The following is a 20,273-nucleotide window of genomic DNA, read 5'->3' as shown; positions in this document are numbered from 1 at the left end:
AAAAAATTTATTTCAGTCGGGCCATTTTTTAGATCTTGGTAATGCATCCAAACGATTATTTGATTCTGTGTGTAAATTGTGAAGCACAATAGTAAAATAGACACTCAAGAACCACAGCCCAACTCAAGACCTGGAAAAGTATGACACTGTTGCATTTACCATTCCCCCCCCACCTGAGGTGAAGGTGCCCCTGGCTTCTGTGCTAACCTCTGTCTTCTGGGTTCAAGCAATTCTCCTGCTTCAGCCTCCAAGTAGCTGAGATTACAGGTGCCTGCCACCATGCCCAGCTAATTTTTGTATTTTTAGTAGAGACAGGGTTTCTCCATGTTGGCCAGGCTGATCTCAAACTCCTGACCTCAAGTGATTCACCCGCCTTGGCCTCCCAAAGTGCTGGGATTACAGGCATGAGCCACTGCGCCTGGCCTGTGTTGCTACATTAGTCTTGTTACTCACATGGTCTGGGCCAGGTTCTGCTGGTGCTGGTACAGGAGGTTGCATCTTGATCCATCTTCCGGCTCTGTACCTGTCCAGTGTTTCAGCCTAGGTACAGTGGCAGGAGGTGGACTGGAAGACCACACACCTGTATTTTATTCCCAACCCTGTGTCTGCCTCTAGAAGGGGCCTTGAGCAAGTCACTCTTTTACTAAAGCAACTCATACTAAAACAACACAACAATTCTTCTTCTTTTTTTTAACCTGGTTTGAACACACTGTATACAATAATTCTTGTCCCTTCCTGACCTATTTCGTTGTTGGAAGAGTACAAATGATGTTGCATTTACGCATTCCATGGTGTTTTCTTAACACCATGTTTGTGTTTGACATAACTCAATAGCAAGACTAATTGCACTATATTTTAGATATTCCCAGGAGAGCTGAGAAAGGGAGAAAGGCTACCAGGCAACATTCTCAGAGTATACGTGTGAGCCTTTCCCTGGCACCTTGATTTGGAGTAGTCTCAAGTTTTATGTTGCGGTCTGTACTTTTCTAGGTGTTATATAACATTGCTTTCATGTATGCCAAGAAGGAGGAATGGAAAAAAGCTGAAGAACAGTTAGCATTGGCCACGAGCATGAAGTCTGAGCCCAGACATTCCAAAATCGACAAGGCGATGGAGTGTGTCTGGGTAAGCGTATTGGTGATGCAGGTGTTGAGAGGATGTCACTGGATTCTCATTTGTCTCAGAGGACATGCCATTGAGAAGCCATAAAAGTGGTGCTTTTACTTTCTGTGAGTCTGGGTAACACTGATCTTAGGGTATAGTTCCACTTAAGATCTTGAATCTGTGCTGAGAAGCTGAGGCCTAGAGTATGGGATGGCAGAGCCCTGGCATCACACCACCCTTGGAGTGGGGCTCCTTGGCAATGCAGGAGAACAGGATATTGGATGCTGGAGCAGTGCTGCACAGACTCTAAGCACTGAGAGGGCAGAGTCCATGTCTGCTTGATCACCACTGAGTCCTCACAGCCTGGCACAGTGCTAGGCACATAACAGCTCTCAGCAAAAATGTTTTGTTTTGTTTTGAGATGGAGTCTCGCTCTGTTGCCCAGCCTGGAGTGCAGTGGTGTGATCTCAGCTCACTGCAGCCTCTGCCTCCTGGGTTCAAGCAATTCTGCTGCCTCAGCCGCCCAAGTAGCTGGGATTACAGGTGCATGCCACCATGCCTGGCTAATTTTTGTATTTTTAATAGAGACGGGGTTTTGCCATGTTGGCCAGGCAGGTCTCGAACTGCTGACCTCAGGTGATCTGCCCTCCTTGGCCTCCCAAAGTGCAGGGATTACAGGCATGAGCCACCGCACCTGCCTAAAATATGTTTTGATTTTGTGAATGAGTGATAAAAACTATTTATCGTTCAAGCATATTTGTGAATAAGGCTAGCTTTAAATCTGATTTTTAAAACACAGAGAAGAGGACTCAAGCCAGTCTTTATATGTCTATCCTCATCAGCAAACACCCATCCAAGGGAGCACTGTCATGAGCCTTGCTTGATCCCGGGCCAGCCTTGTCGTGGTGGTGCCCTCTACACCATGAGAGAACCCCACGGACAGCACACAGAGTGGGAGAGGAGCAGTTCCTCTGGGAAAAGAGGGTGCTGAATAGCAACAAATAGCAGCAATGTCCATGTGGCCTCGCAGCAGAAGGTGGTATTGAAACCAAGGGTTCCTACCTTAACACCCTAGAGGAATGACAACACTCATTTGGAAAAGGGCTTCTATGTGGTTATCTCAATGAATTCTTGCATCTATTCACTGAGGGAGGCAGGACAAGCATCGTCACCCCCATTTTCACATAAGGGAATGCTACGTTTTCTGTGTTACAGAAGCAGAAGCTATATGAGCCAGTGGTGATCCCTGTGGGCAAGCTGTTTCGACCAAATGAGAGACAAGTGGCTCAGCTGGCCAAGAAGGATTACCTAGGCAAGGCGACGGTAGGTGGGATTGCTCAGCTTCCCCTGAGTCTCCTGTGGCCCGGGCCATGTGGAGCAAGGTGGGAGGGACTCTTGAGAAGAGGGTAGCCTCCTTGTGGCTCTGTCCCTGGGATGGCAATGAGAGACTTGTTTATAGGACAGAGGTTTGGCTGAAAGATAGGCAACCATGTCTAGTTTATTTTCTCCAAGCTGCTCCCATTTCTCCCTTCCAGCTCGACCCTGGGTGAGAGCCACAGGGTTACTCACAGGATGCTGAGTCTTAGGGACTGAGCCAATGGAGGGAAAACACAGCCATGAGGAGCTCACTAAATGTGAAGAGAGGGCCAGGCAGGGTAGCTCATGCCTGTAATCCCAGTGCTTTGGAAGGCTGAAGTGGGAGGATCACTTGAGGCCAGGAGTTTGAGACCAGCCTAGCTAGTGGAGAGGCTGAGGTGAGAGGATCACTTGAGCCCAGGAGTTCAAGGCTACAGTGAGCTATGATTGCACCACTGTACTCTAGCTTGGGCAACAGATTGAGACTCTGTTTCTAAAAAATAAAAATAAATATGAAGAGAACATGTTAGGGAAAGAGATCAGCATGGGATCCTCTTGGATTAATGCTCCTTGTAGTTCACGTTTTAGTGGGCTGAGGAGTCTTTCCCCACTTCCACAGCCCTATGTTTAGACTATGTCTTAAATTGGACTTCTTCTAAATCCAGGTCTTGGCTGTGCATGGTGACTCATGCCTGTAATCCCAGCACTTTGGGAGGCTGAGGCAGGTGGATCACGAGGTCAGGAGTTCAAGACCAGGCTGGCCAACATGGTGAAACCCCATCTCTACTAAAAATACAAAATTAGCTGGGTGCTGCGGTGCATGCCTGTAATCCCAGCTACCTGGGAGGCTGAGGCAGGAGAATCGCTTGAATCCGGGTGGTGGAGGTTGCAGTGAGCTGAGATCATGCCATTGCACTCCAGCCTGGGCAACAAGAATGAAACTCCATCTCAAAATAGTAATAATAATAATAAATCCAAGTCTTAAATTCTTTCAGACATGGTCTGAAGTGAGTCAGCAGTGCCCTTCCAAAACCACATTTGACTTGACACATTCATAGGGCTAAAGTTGCCCAGTGGTCGGGTAGCTGGGTCTAGCATAGCAGCAGAGGTCAAGAAAGCCTGGGTGAGTGGAAGCCCTCCAAATATCTATCAACTGATGAATGAGTAATCAAAATGTGATATATCCATGCAACAGAATACTACGTAGCCATAAAAAGGAATGGAGTATGATTCATGATACAACATGGATGGACCTTGAAAACATTATGCTATGTGAAGGAAGCCAGATACGAAAGGCCACATGTTGTACAATTCCGTTTATAGGAAATATCTGGTGCAGCCTCTAAGCACTGAGAGAGCAGAGACCATGTCTGCTTGATCTCCACTGAGTCCTCACAGCCTGGCACAGTGCTAGACACATAACAGCTCTCAGCAAAAATGTTTTGATTATATGAATGAATGATGAAAATTATCTATAGTTTAAGCATATTTGTGAATAAAGCTAGCTTTACATCTGATTTTTAAAACTCAGAGAAGAGGGCTCAAGTCAGTCACAGAAAGCAAACCGGTTGTTGCCAGTTTAGGGGAAAGGGGAGTGTGGACACACTGCTTAATGGGTACAGCATTTTCTTCTGAGGTGATGAAAATATTTTGGAATTAGAGAGAGGCAGTAGTTGCACAGCATTGTGAATGTGATAAATGCCACTGAATCATTCACTTTAAAATGATTAATTTGGGCTGGGCGTGGTGGCTCATGCCTATAATCCCAGCACTTTGGGAGGCTGGATGGGTAGATCACCTGAGGTCAGAAGTTTGAGACCAGCCTGGCCAACATGGTGAAAACCTGTCTCTACTGAAAATACAAAAATTAGCCGGGCACAGTGGCGGGTGCCTGTAATATCAGCTACTCGGGAGGCTGAGGCAGGAGAATCACTTGAACCTGGAAGGCAGAGGTTGCAGTGAGCTGAGATCACGCCACTGCACTCCAGTCTGGGTAACAGAGCGTGACTCCGTCTCAAAAAAAAAAAAAAAAAAAAAGATAATTTGATGTTATACAAATTGCACCTCAATTAAAAACATTTCTTTTTTAAGAGAGAAGAAAGCAAGCCTGTGTTAGCAGGGGTGGGGTGAATGCTCGTTTCTTCAGTTGCTGAAATCCTAATCCAGAGGCTCAGGAATCTAATCCTTAGTTACTGTCCACGTCTGAAACCAGGCTCACGTAAGAACAGGTCTAGGGCATGAGCAAAGAGGGAGACCCAGAAGAATGGAAACAGTGCTGGCAGAGCCTCACACCCTCCTGTCCTTGATTTTAGGTCGTGGCATCTGTGGTGGATCAAGACAGTTTCTCTGGGTTTGCCCCTCTGCAACCACAGGTAAGGCAGTCCTGACCTTCTCCATGGACCTAGGTCTCGAGAGCTTTCTGTGAAGCATTCAATTCGAGAGACTATGTGTGCTGAGTTGCCTGATTGTAAGGGCTCCTTCAAGTGGCCCTCAGTGCAGCTGAGGGATCTGCCTGCCCTCTCTCAGTCCTGGTTTCCATGGCTGGTGAGGAAATAAGGCAGTGTCAGGCTTCACCCCAAGTCCTCTGAAGCTAACTCTCCTGCTTCCCCACAAATGCCGGTCTTCACATCTCTAAAGAGATCTGCTGATCCTCTCTCTGAAGCCTCAACTATTCTCTCAGGAAGCTGAAACACAAGCTATGGAAGGCTTATTAACAAAGCCTCTTCTTGAGTACAGGGGCAAGTGGGGAACCCTGTGGGGCCTGGGCCTGAGGTTTGGGCTCTCCTGGCTCTACCCATCTGCTCATGTGCAGGGGTTTCCTTCGGGAACACAGGCAGCGCACTGAGAGTGAACCCTTTTTCTGCCCAAGCTGGGCTTGGAGAGGTGAGCTCAGATGAACTGGATGATAGTGGATCTAGAAATGCACACAGAGCTTCCTTGTGAAGGAAAGAGGGGAAAACACATTAAGGAAAATACGAACTCTGTGGCAATGAACCTGTGATGGGCAAGAGTGTTGGTCAGCACTAGCAGAGGGCGGTTTTCTGAGCAGGGGCAGGTATGTTCCAGATCTAGATTCCTTGATCTCTTTCTTCACAATAAAGCTGATGAAAGCCTTGCTGAAGTCCCTTGAGCTTCAGTTCAGCCAGAGGCCATGAGGGGAATGCAGCCCAGGTAACTGGATTCCATGGTATTCAGTGTAGAACAGGGGAGGAGATTCTTGCCCAGTCAGTGGATCCTGTGTCAATTTTAAATACTCAGAAGTGGCCAGGCACAGTGGCTCACGCCTATAATCCCACCATTTTGGGAGGCTGAGGTGAGCAGATCACTTGAGGCCAGGAGTTCCAGACCAGCCTGGCCAACATGGTGAAACCCCTGTCCCTACTAAAAATACAAAAATTAGCAGGGTGTGGTGGCACATGCCTGTAATTCTAGCAACATGGGAGGCTGAGGCAGGAGAATCACCTCAATGAGGGAGGCAGAGGTTGCAGTGAGCCAAGATCGCGCCACTGCACTCCAGCCTGGGCGACAGAGTGAAACTCCATCTCAAAAAAAATTTTTTTTAAATTAATTTAAAAATACTCAGAAGTGTCATGTGACATAGTAGACATTAATTACAGAACAGAGCTTTTGGAAACTGTCCTGGGAAAAGGACAGAGCTCAAGGTCAAAGCATTCTTGTGACACCATGTTGCTGTGTGACTGCTAACCTCCAGAAACTAGCTCTGGCTCAAAATGAATTGCTGTGCTAGTGAAACCTGTACCTGGGGAGCTGGTGGGAGGTGTTATTTCCCAGTGTTTAGTCAGGGTGACTGTGCCCTCTTCCTAGACAGTGTTCTCATCAGTCAGAAATGCGTTATTTGATTTTCTGGTCTGGAAGAATGCTCAAATTACCATTAGCCGTTTGTTGTCTCTCCCCTGCTTTCCCTCATTGCCTTTTCCGTTTTCACTTCTCCTGAATGTTCAATAGGCAGCTGAGCCTCCACCCAGACCGAAAACCCCAGAGATCTTCAGGTAAGTTAGATTCAAATCCATAAATAGAATATCCAAGCGCCAAGCCTGAGCTGATGGCAAGAAAGGGAGGGAAGAAGATGAAGGTGGGGTCAGGGTCTAAATCTTGTTGAATTTTCTGGAATGTCAGGCTTCTTCTAGAATGTCAGGCTAGAAAGGAATGCCTAGAAGAATGTCTTCTAGAATGTCAGGCTAGAAAGGAATGATATGATGGGGATGGGAGTCTTGACTGTGGTGGGGCTGGCCATCAGGGCTTGGCTGCAGCTACGTGGTGTCCCATTGGCCCTCTGTCCACGTGCACAGCCACCCACATGGCAAGGGGTTGTTGCTGAGGGGCAGTGGTGTTCTGTGGAACATAGCTACCCTGGGGACCAGGATGCTGACCTCAGGTTGGAGATCGGTTTCGCACTGGCTGCAGTCCCCTCTGACGGGGGCAGGCCAGAGCTCTCTGGAGTCAGGAATCTAGAATGACGTCCTTTTTCCTGTGTGGATGTTTTCCACTCCCTATCGGCACATGCTTTCTGAAGAAGTAAAGAGGAAGGACTGAAGAAAAGGAAGTCCTTCTTCTGTAAGATGAAAAACAAAGGGTGACATAACCTACAGCTTTCTTAAGAATTCTCTCAAAGTGATGAAGCAAGCCTGGTCCTCCCACCCAAAAAGGAGGTTTTAAAAAGTGATTGGCCAGGTGTGTGGCTCATGCCTGAAATCACAGCACTTTGGGAGACTGAGGTGGGCGGATCACTTGAGATCAGGAGTTCGAGACCAGCCGGGCCAACGTGGCAAAACCCCATGTCTACTAAACATGAAAAAATTAGCTGAGTGTGGTGACTGACATGTGCCTGTAATACCAGCTACTTGGGAGGCTGAGGCAGGAGGCTCACTTGCACTCAGGAGGTGGAGGTTGCAGTGAACCAAGATCATGTCACTGCACTCCAGCCTGGGCAACAGACCAAGATTCCGTCTCAAAAAAAAAAAAGTGACAAAAGTACCAAAGCAACTACAAAAATGAGGGGGCTGGATGAGCTCATTCCTAAGCTCCCTGTCAGCTGGAAGGGCCTGTATTCCCTACAGGAGTAGGCACGATGTCTGGAAACAAGGATGGGCCGAGGGGAAAGTAACAGAGTGGGGAGTAAAGGGAGGGAAGCCTGAAACCTGAACACCAGCCTCTCAGTCACACGTTCCAAAGTGATGCCAATCAGAGCCTCAAAGCCTAAAAGCATGAAGTCAGACTTAAGGGAACCGACACTGCACCACGGCAGCTGGGCAGCCTCAGAGCCCTCTATGTGCATCCCTCACGCTCCCTGTCACCTACCCTGCTCACGGTCTCTCTATCCTGGCCCAACACTGGTTCTAGGTGGTTTCTCCTTCCTCCTCTCCCACCAATCTTTCTGGCCCAGCTGGCTCTCACCTGACTTCTGCTTTGTGCTGTTCCCCTGACCACAGTCACCTGATCCACCCCACCCCAGCCCAGCCTTGGGTGCTGGCCAAGATGACACAGCCAGGGACCTTCCTCCTCAGAGCAGAAGGGAGGGCAAGGATTGTAAGTCCTCACTATCTAGTGTTGTGGGGTTTTTGCTTTATTCTTGCCCCTCTGCATATATGGTTATGAGCAGGTGTACACCAGTTTCTTGCTGAGACCTCTTGGGAGCCCAGGCAGGCTCAGTGTCATCTCGGCAGTTGCAGTTAGATGTGGAGTTAGAGCCAGGCTGGAGCCAAGTCCCTGGCTCCAAGTTCAGTGTATTTGCGCCATGGCATCATGTGAGGGGATGGGGGCTGGATCTTGTGTCTATCCTCTGCAGGGCTCTGGAAGGGGAGGCTCACCGTGTGCTATTTGGGTTTGTGCCTGAGACAAAAGAAGAGCTCCAGGTCATGCCAGGGAACATTGTCTTTGTCTTGAAGAAGGGCAATGATAACTGGGCCACGGTCATGTTCAACGGGCAGGTATGCAGAGGATCAGGGGCTGGTGCGATGGGCATGGGATCCTGGCAGCAAATGCAGTCTCTGTGGAGCAGTATCTGCTGCCTTCTTTGCAGACCAGCCAAGTTCTTTTGTCTGTTCGTCATCCCTTCCCCAGGACTCTGGGCTGTTCTGTGGTGTGGGTACTGATGAGCACATCTTTATTTTTTCCTTTCTGATTCTGTGGTGCTGCACTGCAGAAGGGGCTTGTTCCCTGCAACTACCTTGAACCAGTTGAGCTGCGGATCCACCCTCAGCAGCAGCCCCAGGTAATGTGATGCCAAGGCCTGACCCATTTCCTCTCACCCTTTAGGGATCTCTCCCTGGAGGGGAGAAAAGCAGTGTAAAAGAGGTGTTGTCAGGACCCCTGGAGAAAGATTCACTAGTCTTGAGCCCGCCTTGAGATGGCACCAGCTACCCAGAGCTGAACCTGGGAATGAGGGGAAAAAAGCCCAGATGTGCTAAGTTGGAGGCATCTGTAGGTCCCATTGGGCCCACCCACCTCTGTGACTCTTCCTGGTCAGAAGTCACTTGGGAAGCAAAGCCTACAGTATATGAGTGGGTTAGGTCTTCCCAAGTGTGTCTGCTTCACGTGGAAGAGTAGTCAATGTGTTGGCTGGTACAATGCCATTAGAAAGAAAATGAGGCCAGCTGCAGTTGCTCATGGCTGTAATCCTAGCACTTTGGAAGGCTGAGGTGAGAGGATCACTTGAACTCAGGAGTTCGAGACCAGCCTGGGCAAAATAGAGAGATGCCACCTCTATACAAATAAAAATAATAAAATGAGATCTGCCTTAGAGCTTTGAATCAGAGTGGGCCTTGCCAGCCACTGCTTCTAAACTGCTGCTACTCCCTCCCTCACACTTCAAAAGTCTGTCCTTCTGCCAGGCCTAGAGAGCTGTCTTTGTCAGATCTGAGCATCCCTGTAAGTGACTCAATGGCAGTGGAGACTGTCTGTCTCTAGACTGTGCAACCAGTTGTATATGAGCTCAGCCCTCCCTGGTCAGTCACCATATCCAAATGCTTTGAAAAGCTTCAAATGCCTTGCAAATGAGAAGTGGAATTTTTCCTTTCTCAATGCCCTCTGCAGTGGAGACAAGAGCTCAGTCCTGCCCCACGGCCAGTGGATTTCCAATATGGCTGAAAGAGTTGCTAAAGCGGCAAGGGCGTTTTAGCGGGTTAGGATTCTTCTTTCTACTGTGATTTTCATTTTCATCAGGCCAACTCCACCTCCTCTTTTGGCCAACATTTCCTTCGTCTTCCCCAAATGTCACTACCATTCCAACTTTTAGGACGTTATCTGCATGTGGCTCCTTTACATGGGGTCTCTGTAGGGGTGTTTCCCCACATCCACCCCTGCCTGGGAACTTTGAATGAAGGTTCTGACCGTCGCTCCCTGTTGCCTTCAGGAGGAAAGCTCTCCGCAGTCCGACATCCCAGCTCCTCCTAGTTCCAAAGCCCCTGGAAGACCCCAGCTGTCACCAGGTGAGTGGTCCTGGAGCCACAGCCTAGGTCTGGGTGCAGCAGCATGCCAGGCTGCTTCCTGAGTTCCTCTCCCTGCCTTCCAGGAAATTCTGGTTTCTTCTTCTCCCAACATGTCACTCAGCTAATGACCACGCAGCCCCAGAATCCCCCTTTCCTGCACCACCCACCCCAAACATGAAATCAGTGCCCTCTCTCCCTGCCTTCTGCAGAACACTCACGGGGCTTGGGTGAATGCAGCTGGTTCCTGAGTGACTCACGTAGTCACCAAACCCCTTGATCATTAGGTAGGGAAACGATGTCTCAGGAAGAAAAGTTGAAGTAACTATACCTGCTTATCTCTGAGGGGCATGGAGTGGCTGTTTTCAAATGTCTGAGGCACTGTATCTGGAAAAGAAATTGCTCTGTGGAGCCCTGAGGATGAACAAAGAACCAATGGGCAGATGTGAAATGGAAATGTTCTCTCTGAAAGGCTGTTTCCTAGTGTGGAGAGGGCTGTCTTGGGAAGTGCACTTGAAGCAGATTCTGGATAAGCGCTTGGTAGAGACGCAGAGTGAGTGGTTGGCCAGATTCTAGATCAATGATTGCCACACGCGCCTGATCATCAGAATCACTCGGGATGTCCCTTCCCCCATTTTTATTTTGAAAAATGTCCAACCTACAGAAAAGCTGACAGTAGAATACAATAAACATCAGAATATCTTTCACTTAAACTCACCAATTGTTAACATTTTGCACCATGAACTCGCCCTGCTCCATTCTATTTTTCTCCCCCGAGCCAGTTGAAAAGTTACAGACTCGTGACACTTCACCCTACACAGCTGCAAAAACGCAGTCTCCTGCATAATCACAATAGAATCATGGTATCTAGGACACTAAACATTCATATGATAGTATTATATAATGTATATTCCATATTCAAATTTCTCCCGTTGCTCCTGCTCAATGTCCTTGACAGGTTTTTTGTTGTTATCTTTTGTCTAGAGGCTCATCAAGGATCACATATAAACCTAGGATGATTTTGTGAATACAGAGTCCTAGGCTACTGGCTCTGATATTTTAGGACTGGAATGGGGCTCGGGAATTTGTATTTTAGAAAAAAACTTCCCATGTGATTCTAATGATCAGCTAGGTTTGAGATCAGTGGCCTTCTCTGATCATGTACCCCCTATAGTAAATATCTTTATGCATGCTACTCTTACATAAATTAGATTAATATTAGATTGCTTGATTAATAGATTAGATTAAATTAATAAACTTTAGGAAACATACACAAAAATAAAGAATAAGGTGAGGATCAGTGGTTCTAATACTTCTTCCTGTGGCCTCTGGCTCACCTTGCACTCCGATTTTCATTGCTTTGGATCCCGTGGGCTTAATTGACCTTTGGGATCCCTGCTAACCTTGTGGGTTGGTGAGGATATGCTGGTCCTTTGGTAATTACCTATAGGCTCCCTAGAAGCAGAGACTGAGTTTGTTCATGTGTTCATGACCTTCATGCTTCCCCAGGGCGAGATTTTCCCCACAGTTTACTAAGGTTAATAATTGCCCCACAAATTAAAGGGTAAGAGGTTGGGGGCCCTATTTGAAGAGGTTTCATCTGTGTGTGGCAGGGGCTGGCCAAGGATGTTCATTCACCATCTTCTTTTGTTTTACTCCCTACTTTTTCCATTCAGGCCAGAAACAAAAAGAAGAGCCTAAGGTAACATTTTTCCCTCATACTGTTTCAAGTGGTAGAAGATGGGATAGCTTGGGCTATCAACCACAGACATGTCTGTCTGGATTATAGGAAGAGCCCCAAAGGGAGGGTCGAACCAGTTGCTACCTTACAGAGTCCATGAGCTAGGGACCTTCTTAATAGCCTCCTCCACTATCATGCACACACTTCCTACTACCCAAGCTAGTGGGCCAGATCTTACTCAGTAGGAATTCCTGTCCAAGCAAGGGTTGGGCTAAAGGACCTCTGAAGGCCTTTTAGGCTACTGTGAAACCAGTTACTTACTGGCCTCTCCCCTGCTGTATTGGGTACCCCCTGTGCCAAATCACGAAACTGCGGTGATCCAGGATGTTGAGAGAAAGCCTCAGACACTCAGGAGTTCCCTTTGTTTCCTCCCCACTCAGGAAGTGAAGCTCAGTGTTCCCATGCCCTACACACTCAAGGTGCACTACAAGTACACGGTAGTCATGAAGACTCAGCCCGGGCTCCCCTACAGCCAGGTCCGGGACATGGTGTCTAAGAAACTGGAGCTCCGGCTGGAACACACTAAGCTGAGGTGAGCTCCATGCAGGCAGCTGTGAGGGGTACAGTGGGAACCTTGTGCTGGCCTGGAGGAGGGAAGAGGAGGATGGTTTTTGTGATGATGTTCTTTGACTGGATTCTTACTCATTATCCCCACCCAGCTATCGGCCTCGGGACAGCAATGAGCTGGTGCCCCTTTCAGAAGACAGCATGAAGGATGCCTGGGGCCAGGTGAAAAACTACTGCCTGACTCTGTGGTGTGAGAACACAGTGGTGAGTGCAATGAGGGGCATCTAAAGTTACATTTCCACTGAGCCACTTCCTCAACAATTTGAAATTTATCAAGCACCTTCTGTGTACTAGGCACTATATGTGGTGTTGGGGATATGGTGTGTAATAAGTCACAGCTCTGCCTCCCTTTTACCTGCATCCTCACCCCATTTGCAGCAGGGAGAGAGTTTCCCACAAGAGAACAGCAGGCCCAGCAGGGCAGGAGCTCACAGAAAGCCTCCTGCCCCTCCATCAGCTCCCTGCCTGACTGTGTCAAACATCCCATCCATTACTGTCAAGCAAGGTTGGAATGAAGTCATATCATAGCTTAAGGCTCAGCTCATAGCCATTCTTCACCTTTTTTTTTTTTTTTTGAGATGGAGTCTCACTCTGTCGCCCAAGCTGGGTGTGATCTTGGCTCACTGAAACCTCTGCCGCCCAGGTTCAAGAAATTCTCCTGCCTCAGCCTCCTGAGTAGCTGGGATTACAGGCACCTGCCACTGCACCCAGCTAATTTTTGTATTTTTAGTAGAGACGGGGTTTCACCATCTTGGCCAGGCTGGTTTTGAACTCCTGACCTTGTGATCCACCTGCCTCGGCCTCCCAAAGTGCTGGGATTACAGACATGAGCTGGGAGAAGAAGAGTGAAAGAGAATGAGCCTAGAAAAGGGCAGTGTATAAAGCTGTTTAAGGTATCTTCCCCGTTCAGAAAATTGCCTTCAGGAAATACAGCCACTGGGGATGAGACTCCCTGGTGTCTCTGGCTGAGACAAAAGGCCCCAGGATCCTGGGGGTAAGAGTGAGTGTGAGTGTAAGGGGTCTCTTGGAAGTCTGAAAAGTCACTCTAGGTTTTCCAGCTGTCTGTCTTTGGACTAACCCCTTCAGCATCTTTTTTAAAAGATTCTTCCTAGAAGGAGTTCTGCTCTAAATGTGAACTACTTCACTTAAACTTTTTTTTAATTAAAATTTTTTCCTTTGACAGCAGCTTCAATCTATTTGGTGGCTGCACATAGCCAACCCTCTTACAACTCCCCACAATCTTTTGCAATTTAATCCAGGCTCAGGAGTCACTGTTGAATGTTCTTTATCACTATCCATTACTTTTGGAGGCAACAAAGCAGGCTTTCACTTACTAGGAGAAAGAAAACCAGGCGCAGTGGCTCATGCCTGTAATTCCAACACTTTGGGAGGCTGAGGCAACATGGTGAAACCCCATCTCTACTGAAAATACAAAAATTAGCTGGGTGTGGTGGTGTGCACCTGTAGTCCCAGCTACTTGGGAGGCTGAGGCAGAATTGCTTGAACCCAGGAGGCGGAGGTTACAGTGAGCTGATATCATACCACTGCACTCCAGTCTGGGTGACAGAGAGATTCTGCCTCAAAAAAAAAAAAAAAAAAAAAAAAAAAAAAAAAAAAAAGAGGCCTGGTATGGTTTATGCCTGAAATCCTAGCACTTTGGGAGGCCGAGATGGGCCAGATCACCTGAGGTCAGGAGTTTAAGACCAGCCTGGCCAACATGGTGAAACCCCATCTGTACTAAAAATACAAAAAAAAAAGAAAAGAAAAGAAAGAAAAATAAAATGAACTAACATTTATTAAGCATCTACTCTATGCAGGAACACTTACCATTAACCAAGTCTAAATATTTATACATATTTAGAAGAGTACTGCCACAGAGTAAGTGTTCAATAAATGTCAACTACTATTATTGTATGTCATCTCATTGAATTCTTCTAGCCTCAATTTCAGGTGAGGTAACTGAGGTTCTGAGAAGTTACACTGCTTGCTTAGGGACACAGAGCTGGTAAGCAGTGGAGGTGGGATACAAACCTTTCTCTGTGGACTCTCTAGGGCCATTTCCACCTCATTGTATTGCCTCTCAATAAAAATATACCAACGTTCAACAAACAACATTAAGAAGCTAGAACTTATAATGCTCGGTACATACAAGCCTAGCAGCATTTCTAATGTTGATTTGTTAAATTCTATGATTCACATCTGTAGAAACCGCATCCTTCTCCTTCATTTGTGAAGCAAAAGTGACAATAATGTGGAAGAAGTCTAAGATCATAAGTCTAAGATGTATAAGAAATGTTGTTACAGATAAAACAAGTATGGCATTGTGCAGTGGTTTTTGAACTTTAGCAAGTATCAGAATTCCCTAGAGGACTTAAAATACAGATTGCAGGATTCACCTTCAGGGAGTTTCTGATTTAGTAGTTTTGGGATGGAGTTGAAAGTCTGCATTTCTAACAAGGTCCCTAGTGTTGCTGTTAGAGTTGATGCTAAGAAAGCCAGTTTTGACTTAGGGCTCTGTCCCCATCTGTAAAGAAATAATAATGCCCATTCTACCTGTCTCAAGATTATTGTAAGGTTTCAGTAAGATATTTTAAGACTGTATATGATTTTGCAGACCTTTTGGTTTCATTTATCCCAGGGGTCCCCAACCTCCAGGCCACGGGCCAGCACAGGGCTGCACAGCAGGTGAGCTGCAGGTATACTGGCCTGAGCTCTGCCTCCTGTCAGATCAGCAGCAGCATTAGATTCTCATAGGAGTGTGAACCCTATTGTGAACTGTGCATGCAAGGGATCTAGGTCGCATGCTCTTTATGAGAATCTAATGCCTGACGATCTGAGGTGGAACAATTTTATCCTGAAACCACCCCCCAACCCACCACCCACCACCATTCATCTAAAAACTGTCTTCCATGAAACTGGTCCCTCGTGCCAAAAAGGTTGGGGACTGATTTACCCAACCATCCAGTATTCATAAAGAGCATATAAGCTCTACACAAGGCACTGATCACAAACTTTATGAGTTTATATCCCAGGTTCTACTTTGACATTTCGCTGTTTCCTTTAGTGATGTTCAGTGTTCACTTGGCAGGAAATTGGGAAAATTAACAGGCCCTTTATTATTTCAGGGTGACCAAGGCTTTCCAGATGAACCCAAGGAAAGTGAAAAAGCTGATGCTAATAACCAGACAACAGAACCTCAGCTTAAGAAAGGCAGCCAAGTGGAGGCACTCTTCAGTTATGAGGCTACCCAACCAGAGGACCTGGAGTTTCAGGAAGGGGATATAATCCTGGTGTTATCAAAGGGTAAGTGCTACTCCAAGACTATAGAAACAAATTTACATGTTAGCAGAAACAAGGTCAAGGGCAGAGAGAAGAAAATATCAATAATCTACAAACAAAACTTTAGCCAGTGTTTTCAACCCCCTTCCTAGCATCTAGCTGGAGGGAGCAAAGTTGAGCACTCAGACTTTCCCTGTCTATTGCTCTAGTAGCCAGGAAAGCAACAAGAAGCTGAGTTGTTTTGTTTTTGTTTTTGTTTTTGAGACAGAGTCCCCCTCTGTTGCCCAGGCTGGAGTGCAGTGGCACAATCTCGGCTCACTGCAACCTCCCCCTCCTGGGTTCAAGCAATTCTCCTGCCTCAGCCTCCTGAGTAGCTAGGATTACAGGCGCCCACCACCATGCCTAGCTAATTTTTGTGTATTTAGTAGAGATGGGGTTTTGCCATGTTGACCAGGCTGGTCTCAAACTCCTGGCCTCAAGTGATCCAACTGCCTCGGCCTCCTAAAGTACTGAGATTACAGGCATGAGCCACCGCACCTGGCCGGCGATAAACATCTTGATTATTAAAGAGGAGTATGCTTTGGAAACCATGGATTCTCATTCCCAGAGGTAACAAATTGGGCTGGAATCACTTTGCCTTTGCATCAAGCTGTATGACCTTCTGCAAACCATAGTTCTTTGAATTAATGTACTTTTCAAAGAGAAAAGTAGGTAAATTTTGCCTTAAAAACCAGCTATTCAGAACTATCCTGTGTCTCTGGTGACTTTCTTGATTCTGTTTGTAATGAACAGACTAAAAATTGAAACAGCATGCCTGTAATCCTAGCCACTAGGGAGGCTGAGGTAGGAGGATCACTTGAGGCCAGGAGTTCAAGGCTGTTGCCTGGGCAACACAGCAAGACCCACCTCTTAAAAGTGGAGAGTTCTAAGAATCCCTGGAAGAGTTTGTTAAATCAATTCCTGGGCCCACCCTCCAGAGATTCTGATTCAGGTCTGGGGTGGGGCCCACCAACTTGCATTTCTACCAAGTTTCCAGGTGATGCTGGTCTACTGCCTACACTCTTAAGAAGCACCATTCCAACTCGTGGTTTGCCAGCCTAATTCTCTACCTCGACACAAAAAAGTCCCATCATAAAAGCCCTGCTCATACGCTGAGTCTGTGCACTACCAATGCAAAGCAGTGAAAAACTACCATCAATTATAACAGAAAATCCAACAGACAAAGAGAGGGGGAAATTTTAAAGTTAATGAGGGTAGGCTGGGCCTGGTGGCTCACACCTGTAATCCCAGCACTTTGGGAGGCTGAGGTGGTGGATCACTTGAGGCCAGGAGTTGAAGACCAACCTGGCCAACATGGTGAAACCCCATCTCTACTAAAAATGTAAAAATTAGCTGGGCGTGGTGATGCACATCTGTAGTCCCAGCTGCTAGGGAGGCTGAGGCAAGAGAATCGCTTGAACCCGGGAGTGGAGGTTGCAGTGAGCCGAGATTGCACCACTGCCCTCCAGCCTGGGTGACAGAGCGAGACTCTGTCTTAAAAAAAATAAAAATAGGCCGGGTGCAGTGGATTATGCCTGTAATCCCAGCACCTTGGGAGGTCAATGTGGGCTGACTGCTTGAGGTCAGGAGTTCAAGACCAGCCTGGCCAACATGGTGAAACTCTGTCTCTGCTACAAATACAAAAATTAGCCGGGTATAGTGGTAGGTGCTTGTAATCCCAGCTATTCAGGAGGCTGAGGCAGGACAATCTCTTGAACCCAGGAGGAGGAGGTTGCAGTGAGCTGAGATTGTGCCACTGCACTCCAGCCTGGGTTACAGAGTGAGACTCAGTCTCAAAAAAAAAACAAAAACAAAAACAAAAAAATTAAAATTAAAAAAAAAGTTAATGGGGGTAGAGAGAGTATACAACAAGTGTGTAGCAATTAATTAAAAATATGAGTAGTATAGGCTGGGCGTGGTGGCTCATGCTGGTAACCCCAGCACTTTGGGAGGCCAAGGTGAGTGGATCACTTGGGGTCAGGATTTGAGACCAGCCTGGCCAACATGGTGAAACCCCATCTCTACTAAAAATAAAAAAATTAGCCAGGCGTGGTGGCGTGCACTTGTAGTTCCAGCTCCTTGGGAGGCTGAGGCAGGAGAATCACTTGAACTAGGGACATGGAGCTTGCAGTGAGTCAAGATTGCACCTTTGCACCCCAGTCTGGGCAACAGAGTGAGATTCTGTCTCAAAAAAAAAAATATGAGTAGTAGTAATATAGAAGCAGAGTGTTCCAACAAGAGAGAATGGTAACTCAGTGGGAAGAACTGGGTTGAACACCTCCAAGTGCCACTTTAAAGGTGCCTAAATCAACCAACCAGCTCAATTGTCTGGAGTTTGGGAGAGGGAGCAGGAATACAATGAAAGAACACACTAAAACAACCTTTTGGGTAGATATGGAGAGAAGCCAGTATGCGTCTTACTATGACCTATCTGTACAAGTCTAAGTTGAGGAAATACCCATATTGTAGCACTTCAACAGAAAACAGAATTTAGCGGTCAGGGTAGGACAGAGGGGAGTTCAATTGCATTCAAGTTATGAGATGGTCTCATCTACAAAGTGTTTCTCAAACTTTAATGTGCATGTGAATCACCTGCGAATCTTCCTAAATGGATTCTGACTCTGGTTTGGATCTGGGATTTTTCATTTCTAATATGCTTCCAGTCCACGACCTACCCTGTAAGAAGAATCAAGACAGTGATTTGCAGTTAGAATTACCTAAGGGAACTTTTGAAAAAACTGCTGCCCAGTCACACCACACATTAAAGCAAAATTTCTGGGGGCAGGATCCAGGCACCAGTGCCTTAATGTCTGATCTAGATGTACAAAGACAAACTTCTGAACTGGCTGTGTGGTCAGGTAGGTGGGCTTTGGAGATCATACCTAAGTTGTCTGATTTTTACTGGCAGAATGGCTCTGAACAAACTATTCATCTCTCTGGGTCTCCTTTTCCTTAGTAAAATATGGATACCTACAAGTTATTATGAAGTCTGAATATATTTTTTAAGTACAATGCCTGCACTCTATTAAAGGCTCTGAGTAGGAGCTATTAAAATATTTATATTTAACAAACATGTACTAACCCATCACTAGCTCCAGCTCACCTGTTTAATGGAGTTCAGTGAAAAGAAGAAAGTTTACTAAAGAACTTTCATTTTTAATATATTTAACCAATGGCATGTCCCTTTTCTGTAGTCAAAACAAAGATTCCCAACAAAGCGCAGGTAAAATTCTCTCCTCTCTTAAAAAATTGGGCCAGGCACGGTGGCTCACCCCTATCACCACAGCACTTTGGGAGGCTGAGTTGGGTGGATCACTTGAGCCCAGGAGTTTGAGACCAGCCTGAGCAACATGGCGAGATCCTGTCTCTAATAAATACAAAAATTAACCAAGCGTGGTGGCACAGCCTGTAGTTGCAGTTACTTGGGAGTCTGAGGTGGGAGGATTACTTGAGCCCAGGAGGCAGAGGTTGCAGTAAGCCCAGATTGTGCCACTGCACTCCAGCCTGGGTGACAGTGAGACCCTGTCAAGGTTGGGGGTGGGGAAAGGACAGAAATTCTATTTAAGGATTCGTTGTTCAATTTCTTTGACCCTTCTTCTCTATCTGGTAACTTTTTGAAAAACATAATTTATCCTTCTTCATTTTGCTCATTATCATGTTTAAGACAGATCAATAAGATGGTTAAACCCTGTGTTCACTCTCAAACCACTTTGCAATACTGTCTTTTCCCTGTTGATCACAATTAGGGGTGGGGAAGGGTGACAGATAACAAATTCTGTGTGGAATAGCCAGACAGGGTAATCTTCCTACAGTGGTTTTAGAAATCCATGTGTACTTTTCCTTTTATCAGTGAATGAAGAATGGCTGGAAGGGGAGTGCAAAGGGAAGGTGGGCATTTTCCCCAAAGTTTTTGTTGAAGACTGCGCAACTACAGATTTGGAAAGCACTCGGAGAGAAGTCTAGGATGTTTCACAAACTACAAAGCTGAAGAAAATGAAGCCCTATTACTTGTTTGTAAGATTTAGCACCCTTCTGCTGTATACTGTACTGAGACATTACAGTTTGGAAGTGTTAACTATTTATTCCCTGTTAAAATTTAACCTACTAGACAATGATGTGAGTACCCAGGATGATTTCCTGGGGCACAGTGGGTGAGGAGATGGGGACAGGTGAATGGAGGAGTTAGGGGAGAGGAAAAGTGGATGGAAGTGTCTGGAAAGGGCACGAGAGAGTCTTCCAGGTACTGATCCTGTTTCTTGCTCTGAGTGCTAGCTAGCCAGCTGTGTTCACACTGTAAACATTCATCAAGCTGTACATTTGGTGCACTTTTCTGTGTCATACCACAATAAAAAAAAACCTAGCATCTTACAAAAACAAGACACCCAAGTCCAGGCCCAAGGAGTAAGTACAAATATTCCTGTTTCTGAACCATTACTGTAATTGGCTCTTAAGGCTTGAAGTAACCTTATAGGTTACTCATAAGGCATATACAAATAAACTTGTTTGTTTTCTTTTTTCATTATGTCTTGTTGCTTAAACAGAACCTAGACTGAGTTAGGTTCTCATGGACTACAACACTCAATTCCACAGAGAATTAATAGAATTACATACCTTTGTACATTCTCAGAGAGGAACATGTGTTAAGAACTCAATACTGAATATATATCAATCGCCAACATTTAAGTGATGAAAAGCAGCGGTGTTCATGAAGCTAGTTCGTAAGTAGTATCTTGTTAGCTGAC

The 20,273-nt window shown here is 46.4% G+C and overlaps 1 protein-coding gene across 11 annotated transcripts in view, besides 2 other annotated features; it reads left to right on the top strand.

Annotated features, from left to right (window-relative positions):
• The window catches only part of NCF2 (neutrophil cytosolic factor 2), a 46,288-nt gene extending 26,238 nt beyond the window's left edge, over positions 1-20,050 (top strand). For 5 of the 11 annotated variants that reach the window (XM_047421222.1, NM_001127651.3, XM_011509580.2 and 2 more), the window contains 12 exons: positions 991-1,125; positions 2,320-2,427; positions 4,773-4,832; positions 6,427-6,470; positions 8,267-8,408; positions 8,624-8,692; positions 9,833-9,908; positions 11,582-11,607; positions 12,027-12,178; positions 12,306-12,417; positions 15,339-15,516; positions 19,382-20,050. In XM_047421222.1, coding sequence (XP_047277178.1) covers positions 991-1,125; positions 2,320-2,427; positions 4,773-4,832; positions 6,427-6,470; positions 8,267-8,408; positions 8,624-8,692; positions 9,833-9,908; positions 11,582-11,607; positions 12,027-12,178; positions 12,306-12,417; positions 15,339-15,516; positions 19,382-19,494 — 1,215 coding nt within the window. In that variant the 3' untranslated portion in view covers positions 19,495-20,050. The other 6 variants (NM_001410895.1, XM_005245207.2, NM_001190794.2 and 3 more) reach the window with 5 other exon arrangements.
• Positions 4,316-4,481: a silencer, noted in NCBI's record as "fragment chr1:183540266-183540431 (GRCh37/hg19 assembly coordinates)". NCBI's record gives its function as "represses an EF-1alpha promoter that drives an FKBP-Casp9 reporter gene in an ReSE screen in K562 erythroleukemia cells {active_cell/tissue: K562}" and the evidence as "EXISTENCE:reporter gene assay evidence [ECO:0000049][PMID:32094911]".
• Positions 7,810-7,869: an enhancer, noted in NCBI's record as "active region_2215". NCBI's record gives its function as "activates an Ori minimal core promoter by ATAC-STARR-seq in GM12878 lymphoblastoid cells {active_cell/tissue: GM12878}" and the evidence as "EXISTENCE:reporter gene assay evidence [ECO:0000049][PMID:35858748]".

The sequence above is a fragment of the Homo sapiens genome, chromosome 1 (assembly GCF_000001405.40).
Source record: "Homo sapiens chromosome 1, GRCh38.p14 Primary Assembly".
Taxonomy (NCBI): Eukaryota; Metazoa; Chordata; class Mammalia; order Primates; family Hominidae; genus Homo; species Homo sapiens.
The sequence above is the reverse complement of the archived record's forward strand: the minus strand, read 5'-3'. Positions and strand labels throughout refer to the sequence as shown.